Below are 12218 nucleotides of genomic sequence, written 5' to 3' on the forward strand. Positions count from 1 at the left end.
AATCGTTGTTACTAACTTCAGAAGATATGGCCTTTAGGAAAGTAAATACTACAGATGATCAGATGAGGGAGAAATCACTGGAATTGGGAAGGTTATACAGAAGAGGTTGATTTTTATTTGCATCTTGGAAGGATTCAACTTAAGTATGCAAAGAGTTGAGCAGTTAGTCAGTGAGTATGTATTGTCTTGGTGTTGGAGATACAGTGTTAAACAAAAATGCATGTCATATACAGCTCTAAGTAGCTTATATTCTAATTTCTATTGGGGGCAGGTTACAGATAGAAAATAAATGTGAAAACAAATGTGAAGAAAGATAATTTCAGATACTGATAAGTGCTTCGAGAAGATAGGGCAATGTAATAAGAAGTGATTAGTGGTTGCTTTTAGCTAGGAAGCTCAGGGAGGGCCTCTGTAAGGCAACAATTGAGGTCTTAATGATGAAAATAACTGAAACCATGAGAAGATCTGTGAGAGCAGCGCACTAACAGAAGTGACAGCTAATAAAAAGGCCCTGAGAAGGGAACACAATTGGCAAATTCAGAAATAAGGCTTGTGAGACTAAAGCTTGGTGAATTTGGGAGAAAGGAGAAGACTAGGTTGGTAAGAGATGAGACTGCATATGACCATGCAAGTTTAATTGTATGGTAATGGAAAGTCATTGAGTGTTTTCGGCAGGGATCATTTATAGTTAAGAAAGATCTCTCTAGATGCTTAGCAGAAAATGGTCTGTAGTGTGTCAAGAGAAAGGAGTTAGGAAGGCCTTGTAGTAGTTGAAGCAAAAGTTGATATTTGGATTAGCAATTTTGGCAATGAAAATAGAAATGTTCAGACTCATATATTATGGAGTAGAGCTAGTAAAACTTCCAGTACATTGGATGTGGCACTCAAAGGCAAGAAAGACAGGAAACTGAGTGGATGCTGTTGCCATTTAATTAGATGGATAAGGCATTCGTGAAGGAGAGATCAAAGTGTTTAAAAAAGAAGAGTATTCCACCTTGTCAGATGTTGCTGAGACATTTTGTAAGGTTTGGACAGAGAATTGACCATTGTCTTTCATAAGCTATAGATAATTGATGACTTTAATAAGAGTCTAGTAAGACTTTAATATGCCTATTTGGAATGAGTTGACAATGAGAAGAGATAGTACAGATAATTCTTGAGAGCTTTCACTATGAAGGGAAGCAGAGAAATGAGGCGGTAGCTAGAAGATGGCCCAAACGAGATGTTTTAAATAAAGTCAATACATCAGTCAGGGTCCTGGTAGTAAACAGACAACACACTCAAATTGGTAAATTGGGTTATTTACAAAGTTGTTAGCAGAGTAAGTGAGACCATAAGGACAGCATAGTGCCCAGGGGAGAATCTAGAGATGAACTGTGGGTGAGAGGGCTGCTTTACAGGAGATGGGACTTTCACTCTAGGGACACAGCCGACCCATGACAACCATCCCATGGTGACCCTGGAGGTGGGGACCTGAGGGAACAAATACCCCAACTTCACTCTCTTTTCTTTTCTGCTAGTGCTTTCTATTAGCTGAGCCCAATAAGAAGGCAAAGGAGTCTAGTTGATACAGTCCTTCAGAATTGGCCTCTGAGGGCATAGAGCAAAGTGGAGAAGAACAGCAAATCAGTGCCAGTGATGTTAGTCTGCGTTGTTATACTGATAGGAATGTTTTAGTAGAGAGGGAGAAACGGATGATACAGGAGAGATAAGGAAAAACTTTAATAACCATGTCCTTGACAAGATTATGAGAGGGGATGGGATGTAGGACTCAAATGAAGGGATTGACCTTGGTCAAGTGCAGTTGCAGGCAAATTGGTAGAATTTACATAGGGACAGTGAATCTGTTATCTGGGTGCATCTGAGACCTAGAAAGCTTCCCTGTCCCAGGCAGGTATGGAAGCCCAGAGCTCCAGGATCACCACACCTGCTCAATCACCCAGAAATAGGTTTGGAGAGGGAAACAATCATGACACGGACCCCCACGAAGTTTCTCCCTGATGGACTGGGAAGTCTTCTTTGTTGAAGACATTGAGCCAGACTAAGAAGCCTCTAGGCTTCTCAGAAACAGGGCAGACAGAGCAAGAGGGAGGACAGAACAGAGGCCAGAGCCCAGGCAGGATATGGCGCAATGCCACCACCGCAGGCATCCGGGGAGGAGTGCCAAACGGGACTTGGCCAGGAAGGCCAGCATTTGAGTGACAGAGATGCTTGCCCTATCCTGTTGCTGGCTTCTTTCTCCGTCCCTGTGTCAAGCTGTGGCTAGATTTCTCAATGAGGGCAAAGGGCGAGAGGAGTGAGAACCGTCTTCTTGAAGTTCTGTGGGCACCTGCCTGCCCTGTGAGCACCTGTGAGGCCTTTGTCTTTGGCTGGGGTGTGGTCGTCTTGATCCTAGCAAAGAGGCTGCTCAGGATGGGGAGGGGATAAAAACCCCTGCGGGTCCGGGCCGGGCGCGGTGGCTCATGCCTGTAATCCCAGCACTTTGGGAGGCCGAGGCGGGTGGATCATGAGGTCAGGAGATCGAGACCATCCTGGCTAACAAGGTGAAACCCCGTCTCTACTAAAAATACAAAAAAATTAGCCGGGCGCGGTGGCGGGCGCCTGTAGTCCCAGCTACTCGGGAGGCTGAGGCAGGAGAATGGCGTGAACCCGGGAAGCGGAGCTTGCAGTGAGCCGAGATTGCGCCACTGCAGTACGCAGTCTGGCCTGGATGACAGAGCGAGACTCCGTCTCAAAAAAAAAAAAAAACCCCTGCGGGTCCAATGCAGATGCCAAGTGTGTAGCAAGGTCATAGCTAGGAATGATGCTGGGAAGGAGGTGTTATAGATTTGAGGAATAAGAAGGTTTGAAATATAGTTGTCTTGAAGTGTAGAGAAGTAAGTGAACTATAGAAATGTTGTGGGACTGTCAGTGGTATTGAGTGTCCTTTTGAGATTTGTGGTCATAAACTTAAAGTATGTCCAGTCAGCACATTTGTTTGGTTTTTCTCCTGCAGCTTTTGTTGCTCAGGGGCAAACACTAAGTGGTTGAGCAGGGATACTCTCTGGGTGTGCGGGGTTACTGTAAGCAGAGGAAGAGAAAGGAATGCTATATTAAATATATATACGTATATGTGTATATGACATAAGAGCTAGGCTGAATGAGTGCTGATAGACATGTCTTGGAAGTAATGGTTGTGGTTTTAAATAAAAGCATAATATATGTGTATTGGCATTTGCCTCTTTCATGTAACATGACACAAATTTTACTGATTATTTGAAGTTTCTTGTTAATGAAGCTTCTATTCTCTTATAAACTAAAGTATTATCTAAATGTATTTTATTTTCATTTATTCTTGGGATGTTTGATAGTAAATAAGATTTTTAGTATTTGGATTATTAAACTAGAATGGTAATATTATGTTAATAAACATGTTACGCTTGGATTCTTGTTCATTACTCTGTCCTGTCGGGTCAAGGAAAGTGAAATTGTTTTCCAGTTATATAAAAATTCTGTTGGTCATCAACCACCACCATATATGTTTGTGCATGTTGTATGCTACACATACCAGGGATACTCTTACTGTAATCTTATGTCATTGATGCTCTCTAGAGTTCTTAAATGTAAAATCAGTACTACTATAAGTGTCAGTCCTGAGTCATCAAGTCTGATTTTAACTATTGAAACAGATCTGTAAATATAATTAACATATAAACGTCACCTAATTTGGTAATCCTAATTACCTTACTGTTTTCTTTTGCCTACAGCCTCAAGACGTTCAGAAGACAGTATTAAAGGGAATCATTAACAGCCTGTTACGAGAATGGAAAGGGTAAACTAATATTTTCAATATTTAGCTAATCAGTATAGATGTCTAACTTACACATCATATATCTTTAACACATGTGTATGTATTTTACTCTCAGAAAAGATTTTAGTTGAGTTATAATAACATAGATGAGAAAAGAATTATAAGCCATTTACAACAAAGCTGTATAACTTGAGATTTGTGACCTCTCAGTAGGATCTATAGATGGGCATAAAAAGATCTGTGAATTCTTTTAAATTGTATGTAAAGTTTTTTCTATGCAGATATATATGCTTAACAAAAATGGAATGGGTACTTACATCAGTAACCTAACTGAAATAATGAGCATTAAATTTAGCCTTGGGCTTCCTGGTAGCCAGAGTGAAATTTTTCTTATTTCTATTATAGGGACGCCTAAGGCCAGCTACTAAAATATTTTTTTCTCTCAGAACTAAATATTAGATTCTTATATAAGGAATCATGGGCAATTTAATTGGTAATGTTTTGAACCATGAATATGCATAATATAAAAATGTACTTTTAAAAATACATATTTAAATTTATATTAAAAGTATATTATTTAAATAATAACTTCCATTAAAGCCAAAGGAATGCCAAGTCTAGTTTAAAAGTAATACCTAAGTAGAATTCTTAAATGTAATGTTACATGTACCATATATATTTTAATAATATTTTAATTGTTCTGATTTTGAAAGAAATTCATGCTTATTATAGAAAATATAGAGAAGGCAGAGAAGTATAAAGAAGAAAGTGTCAGTCTGGCCAACATGGTGAAACCCCATTTCTACTAAAAATACAAAAATTAGCCAGATGTGGTTGCACCGTCCTGTAATTCCAGCTTACTCAGGAGGCTGAGGCAGGAGAGTCGTTCGAATCCTGGAGGCAGAGGTTGCAGTGAGCCAAGATCATGCCACTGCACTCCAGCCTGTTGAGCTGTTGAGAATTTCTGTCTACTGCCTTCACTTTTTATATAGCACATTCCTATTACTGGTTTTTTATATATCTCAAAGATGGTGACTGGATTTGCTTGGACACTACTATTTTAATGTATGTCTTTTTAGTTTCTATCTGTAACATAAATTTCAGAATCAATAGAGTGAGACTGTCTCAAAAAAAAGAAGAAAGTAAAAAATGTTTACATTTTACAGTGTTTTTCTAGTCATCTTTTAAAAACAATTAAAATCATACTGTATAGTTTCATGTGACTTTTAACTTAATGATCTTTTTCTTAGTTTATTACTCTAGTAATCTGTTTGCATTTTCCTTCTTAAACCACACTTTTAATGTCTGACTAATAACTTAGAATAGGAATGTACTGTAATTTACCTAACCATTCTCCAAGAATGGTTGTTTATGTGAATAATTCCACAGTGAACATTTTGTACAAAAATCTTCTTTTCTGAGCATTTATGTAAAAATTTTTTTAGAAATATAATTACTGCATCAGAGTATAAACATTTTAAGACAATACATTTTGTCAGATTTATTTACAAAGCAGTTATGATAATGTATACTTCTAACAGCAGAGGGCCTGAGACTTCATTGGTATCTTCTTTTAACAAAACTTGGCCTAATTTAATAAATGAAAAGTGGATCTCATTTTTATGTACTTTTCCTTAATACTAATAAGCTTAACATTTTATCATTTGTTGCTATTTTTATTTATCCTTTTATAAGTTTTCCACCTACTTTTGCCATTTTTTATTGCAGATTTGCCTGATTTTCTGTTAGAAACTCTTGCTTGTTGTAAGAAAATTGACCTTTTTGTATTATATTTTCCTATATCTCACGTTTCAGAAAATCAGTTACTAGACTCAAAAAGATGAAACCCCTGTTACATCTCAGTTAAGTGTCTGAGGACTGAAGGGTTAAGGCCAAACTGGGAGTTAGCTGCTTCCTGAATATTATAGTAAAAATATCATTAAAAAAATTCTAAGAAATCAAACCTACTCATACAATTTATTGTGCATGCCTGATAATTTATGCAGGCATAAATGACCTTGCCAAGATTATAAAGCTCTAGGTAGGATAGGAAAGGACTTGGAGGAATAGGTGATATATACAAATAGATCTTGAGCAGGCAAGAAAGAAACACTTGTCAGCATAGAGAATGACAAAAGCTTTAATATCTGGGTTTTGTTTTTCAATCCAGGACCCAGTTAGGAATCATGAATTGCATCTGGTTGTCATAGAGGTGAACCATTTTCAATTGAAGAAGTTACTTCCAGATATCTGTGAGAATGTACCAAATAGATCTTGAGCAGGCAAGAAACACTCATTAGCCTTGAGAATAACAAAAGCTCTTGGCCAAATCTCATACTATGAGAATTCATATTAAGATGGAAAAAATTACTTACTTTTCATGATTCTTTCTGTTAGAAGCATACTGGATGTATTTAAAGTATGATTTGATTTACAGACATTTCTACATCACTTTAGGAATGAACCTAGAAACACAAGCATATTTTCTTTCTTTAATACATAAATGTTCTTAAGTAAAGATTATCCTTTATTAAAACAAAAACATAAGTATTCTAAAATTGATGATTTTATTACACACCTAACTACTTCCAGAGTTAATCATATTTACCTCACAAAATGTTATAGCCTAGTTAGCTCAGTCTTTAGTTATCTTCAGAATCAGCCTAGGAGAGGCACAGAAGCACTTGTATTTTCAGCATATTATGGACTGTCTCAATAATAATGCATATTAATCCTAGTTTTTGGCTTTTCTCAACTCAGTCTTCATAGAAAAGTTTATTGGTCTTTTTCGTTAGATGCTATGAGATTAAACATTCATCCATAATAAATTATTCTTGTTTCTTTTTCAGTCCACGAACAAAAGATGATCTTAGAGCATATTTTATACTTTTACAGGTAAGAGAACCAGAACCTAGTTGAAGTTGTCTAAGTCAGATCTCAATCCCTACATGTGTATGTGAAATGATATTAAATATTAAATATCATTTTGGGCAACATTATTGATTCTTTTTAGAATTATAGTTACCTGTAACCAGAAGATTTTTTTTAAAGTAGGATTAATAAGATTAAAAGATAAGTAAGATTTTAAAAAGTAAGAAAAATAAGATTAAAGCCATAACAAATAAATAATCAGAAGCTAAATTACATGTGAGATTAAAATTTTGATTTAGTTCCTGCCAGAGTATTCAGGAACAAACAGAATGGAAGCACTTCTTCCTCCTCCATTCAAACCTGTTTCTTGTAACTAGTTTTAACAGGCTTCAGGATTTTCTTTTATTTTCCCATCTAGTAGGTTTTCACTTCACTATGTATTTTTCAATAACTTCAATTAGAATTCTTATGGAAAGATAAAAGGTTTTTTTTTAATTTGTTATAAAGCGAAGATAATGAACTTTTTCCTCTTGATAGATACAGATTAATAGATACAAAAAGAAATTAAGATCCAGACAAATGAAAAGCAATTTTTACTTTTTATTATTTTTTGAGGAAGAAATACATTATTACCATAGCTAGCATACTATTAATACATTTGCATTATTCTTTACAATTTATAAAAGTTGTCCATGTATATTATCTCATTTAAAAGTAAGGAAAACTATATTAAATAAGTATAGTGTTTAGTACAATATTATGATATTATAATATCAATATGTCTAATGAAAGAACATATACAGGGTAGGGATAGAGAAAGTGAGGAAAGAGGAAAAAGTGGAAAAGGGGGGAAAATGACCAAGAGGTAGTTAAGAAGAGAAATGTAAGGAGGGAAAATAGAGAAGTAAGAGGAGAAAGAGCCAAAACTCAAGAATAAACATATGTAGAGATAGTAAAAGCTAGAAAGATGACACGAAGCTCAGATTTTAGGTGAGTATATTGGTCAGCCATAAGCTCTGCTCATATTTTGTTCTTCTCAAGAGCCATTACCAGATGAAGTTATCAGCTGAGGTCAGTCCCAGATTTTGAGTTGTTCTGTCAATAAGTCAGTTTTGAAAAACACATGGTGCTCTCTTATTTTTCACAATTTCAGGAGGTTTTTTTCAATAATATTTATTTTTTCCATGATGTGCTGAAATGTACATTGTGCTAGAATTTTATATTTTGGAAACATTAACTAAAGGCTTTTCTTAGTTTACAAGTATTCCTTCAGCGTCCCTTTATCATTTAAAAGTTGTCAGAAGCTGTATGTGTTTCTCCCCTTGTTCTTTGTGATATATGAGGCTAACTCATTTTACAATGGCAAAAGTTTCACAACCAGCTTTTACTTCGTTTTTCTAGCTTTTAATCAAGGAACACCCAGGTTTTTTGCTTTTAATTGGATGATAGTGATTGGTACCATTTATGAAGGCACTTTTTATGAAGGTGCTTTATATACATTTTCTTTTTCGATACTCAAAACAACCCTTAAGATAGAGAATATCATTCCCATTTTACAGATAAGGACATTGAGAATCAAAGTGTAAGGAACATGCCTAAGGGCATATAGCTAGTAAGTGGTAGAATTAGCCCTCAGACCCAGATCTGTCTTAACTCCAAAGCCCATGCTCTTTTCACTGTATAGCCGCAGTGTAAATGAAAGTCTCTGTTAATTAAATAACAAATAGGTTATTGTTATTTTATAATCTCAAATTTTGTTTCCTGAATTTACCACGTACTTATTAAGCTTAGTGTCTTTCCTTTTACGTGTTAACAGAATTTTAACACAATTATCTTTAATATCTTTTTCAGAATCCTCAGTTTAATAACACATCTACGTATGTCATCTATGCTCACTTGCTACGACAGATAGCTACCTTAGTGGAAGCTGACCATCATTTCCTAGTTCACTGGTTTAAAAAGTAAATCATTCTATGATATTAAGAACTTTTATAGTCTCACAGTTTTAAGTTTGGTATTAGTAATTTTACAATAAAATATATTTAAATATTTTCAGGTCTTTAGAAATGATGCTTATATTCACAATGCTTCAAAAGCCAGTTACAAAAATCTACTTTAGTACTACATAAAGGATAATTAAAAATCTGTTTTTAATGTAAGTAACCAATTTGTTTGCACAAGCTGTTGAGAATTTCTGTCTACTGCCTTCACTTTTTATATAGCACATTCCTATTATTGGTTTTTTACGTATCTCAAAGATGGTGACTGGATTTGCTCAGACACTACTATTTTAATGTGTGTCTTTTTATTTTCTATCTGTAAATTCATAAATTTCACCATTATTTAAATGGCGCTTTCTCCTTACCTAAAAATGTCATTGTAAAATATAGGCTAGCCATCAATATCAATTTGTAAAAGCATAATACTTTTTTCACAGAACTATACCCACATGAACAATGACTTCTCCATGACTGATAAAAGTAGAAAGGCAAAATATTTCCAAAAGAAATTTTAAATGCAGTAAATTATCATTATTCATAGTAGTTATATTCTATAATGTCACCACAAACATGGAATTAATAAATACAGAACCATTGCTTCAAGGGGAAATACAGGGTTAGGTTCCTGTGAGCCTCTGATCACATTTTTGTCAGCCAATCAGTATATAACTTTGCTTTATGAGTGTTTTTTTTAAAGACACACTTCATTTAATAGAAGTCATTGATTCATTATCATTGAACTCACGGCTAGCAGCACTGTAACTCATGCCTGAATGAAGCTTCTCTAACATACATATTTTCTCTGTAGGGCACATCACAACCTTCTTGTTAGGAACACTAGACAGCATTTTAGCACTACACTTGGCCATTTTGAAATTGCAAAATCACCAACAAAAAGCACCAAAATGTGAAAAACATGAAGCTAAATGGATTGCATAAAGGACACTTGCAAAGAGAGAGTATTGAGCTAAAACAAGGCAGAACATCACTTTGACCTCAGCTGGAAATGTGCATGTCAGGAGACTAACATCTTTCACATGTCCCCAAATGACCATGAAAACACAAGTATTGATTTGGGGATTAACAATTAAATTTTACCAAGTAGGCAAATTTGGAAATATAGAATCTGTGAATAATGAAGACTGAATATTGAAAGTCTTTAAAATGTTTGTTACTAACTTTATAGTAATTTTGGTGTTTATTTCTCATTTAACGAAGACAGTATTCAAGGTAAGATTTTGTATCTTTTCAAATGTTTGGCAATTTAAGAAATAGAATTTGGGGGAATAGTCTAAAATTTTGTGGCTTAGGATGTAGTTTAATATCTAACAGATAATTTTGGAAATAGAAAATGTGAATTTTGATTGCAATTATTTTGAAATCTTTACCAGATTGTCCCAGAAGAGGTTCAAACAATTGGTAGAGAGATTGCTGCAATTTATTTCTTTACGCCTGTTTCCTGCAAAGCCTGAAGAATTTCCACCTATAACAAAGTGTTCCTGGTGGATTCCATCAGCCGCTAAAGTGTTGGCTTTACTTAGTAGGTTTTTATTATTCTATCATTTTTTACTTTTCTTTTGTTACATTTTAGGGATATTTCTTAAGGATTTCAAAAGACTATAGAGGCATTCTTAAATTTTAAACCATTTCTGTGAAGGAAAGAGTTGTAATTTATTTTCTACTTTGATAATAGATTTCATAATTTATAAGCATGAAAAAAGCTTTATGTCTTTTAGTGGACAGTGTTCTGTATTATGGCAATTAAGTGCATATGAGCTAGGACCCCTAAGAGAGAACACACAGAAATAGGAGTAAATGGCCATCTGCATATTCCCTTTAATACTATTATAATCCTCACCACAAGTTTTCTTTTTTAAGCAAGAAACTATTGGCTGCATTTTAACCACAATTTTTAAATTACCCCTTTCATTTGGAGCTACATTTATTTAAAATAGGAGTTTCTAGGTCAAGGCTGTCTTGTAGACATTAAAATGATGTTTTTATTATTAGAATGAATCTTGTACATGTTGGAAAAAGTCTTTATGTTAGAATTTATCTTTACAGATACTGCAAACAATTTAGTTCACCCTCCCCTTATTCCTTATACTGATTTCTATAATTCTACATTGGATCACATTGATCTCATGGAAGAATATCATACTTGGCAAAACTTTGGAAACTCTCACAGGTATGAACAAAAGTTCCTTTGATTATCCACCTAAATGAAATACTATTCAAAAGAATGACTAGAGTTTAAGTTTATATGAAGTTTACACATACGTTTACATATAAATGTATAAATATAGTTCAGATAGCCTTGAAATATCATATTTATTAAAGTATTTTCTTTTTCTGCTACATTTTGAATTTATGTACATGTTAATTTGGTTTTGGTTTGGTTAATAGCATCTTTTCAAGAAGGGAGAGGTTCTATCTTAATATGCAGTCTCTTATCTCTTACTATTCTATGCACAGGGGTCAGCAAAACTTTTTCTGTAAAGAACTAGATGGTGAATATTTTCAACACTATAGGTTACACAGGTTCTATTTTGCTATTTTAGCACAAAAGTAGCCTTAGACAGGATGTAAATGAATAGATATGTCTGTGTCCCAAATGACTTTATTTACAAAAACAGGTTGTAGGCCATATTTGTCTTAGGCCCATGGTTTGCAGATGCATGATCTAATATATTGATCACACACAGACACACACATACATTCATTTCTCATTTCTTTTGTAAGAAAAAGTGGTTGTCCATTAGGTGCAATATAAAAAGAGTAGATGTTACAGAGAAAGGGCCTTACCACAGCTTATTTATTATAATAATTAATAGATTTGTAAAACAGTCACCAAATTATTTAATACACTGCACTTTATATCCACACTTCTAGTTTGGATTAAACTAGCAAGACTATTCCAAACATAATTTATCCTCAGGTCATGAGATGTTCAGGAGATTGCATTTAATTGTAGAGGAATCTGAGTAAAGAGATACAGTGTGGATATAAGTAACCTCAAAACCCCAGATTAGTTTGTAAATTGGTTAAACTTTCCAGGGACCCTCTTTATCAGAATTGGCCTGAAACATAGAATGGGCTTCTGGACACATCTCATTTCACATCTGAACACTCAGAACTGAATAAGAATAAGAATTTAAGTTCTGGGCACCCTAGTCCCAGATGGATATTTTCTTGGCAATGTTTACTTTACAAAGATACTTTTTCCTTCCATTTTAATATAATTGTAATGTGTTGTAGATACAACCACAAAACAGCGCCAAGAATTATTATGCATATTTCACTGACAACAACATCTTTTAATATAGAGCTTCCTCTAACAACTGTGCCACAACACTGGTGTACCAAGAATGAGTTACATTAGGGTTTTAATCCTAGGATCCTGTCAACCCTTGGGTAGCCAGCCTGAACCTAGAGGGGAACAGGAGCCCTATGGCAAGTGATCTCTGGCCATGAGCAGCTTCATCTGTTCATTTCAGTGTATCATTCACAAAGTATCATTTCTCTTGTGCATAACAAGGGAAAGGTTGAGAACCCCT

General features: G+C 34.7%; 1 protein-coding gene and 1 long non-coding RNA gene across 14 annotated transcripts in view; one reads left to right on the forward strand and one right to left on the reverse strand.

Annotated features, from left to right (window-relative positions):
- HECTD2-AS1 (HECTD2 antisense RNA 1) overlaps nt 1–12218 on the reverse strand; it is a 304499-nt gene that overhangs the window by 167493 nt on the left and 124788 nt on the right. The gene's annotated exons all lie outside the window — the stretch shown is intronic.
- HECTD2 (HECT domain E3 ubiquitin protein ligase 2) overlaps nt 1–12218 on the forward strand; it is a 105586-nt gene that overhangs the window by 65220 nt on the left and 28148 nt on the right. For 6 of the 13 annotated variants that reach the window (NR_145526.2, NR_104291.3, NM_001348365.2 and 3 more), the window contains exons 6-10: nt 3747–3811; nt 6640–6685; nt 8513–8622; nt 10053–10201; nt 10726–10849. Coding sequence is in view for 11 of the 13 variants with exons in the window: in NM_001348365.2 (NP_001335294.1) it covers nt 3747–3811; nt 6640–6685; nt 8513–8622; nt 10053–10201; nt 10726–10849 (494 nt within the window). In the remaining 2 variants the exon portion in view is untranslated. Of the gene's footprint in view, nt 1–3746; nt 3812–6639; nt 6686–8512; nt 8623–9879; nt 9892–10052; nt 10202–10710; nt 10850–12218 lie in introns of all 13 variants that reach the window. The other 7 variants (XM_047424658.1, XM_047424659.1, XM_047424656.1 and 4 more) reach the window with 2 other exon arrangements.

The sequence above is a fragment of the Homo sapiens genome, chromosome 10 (assembly GCF_000001405.40).
Source record: "Homo sapiens chromosome 10, GRCh38.p14 Primary Assembly".
In the NCBI taxonomy this organism is placed as follows: domain Eukaryota; kingdom Metazoa; phylum Chordata; class Mammalia; order Primates; family Hominidae; genus Homo; species Homo sapiens.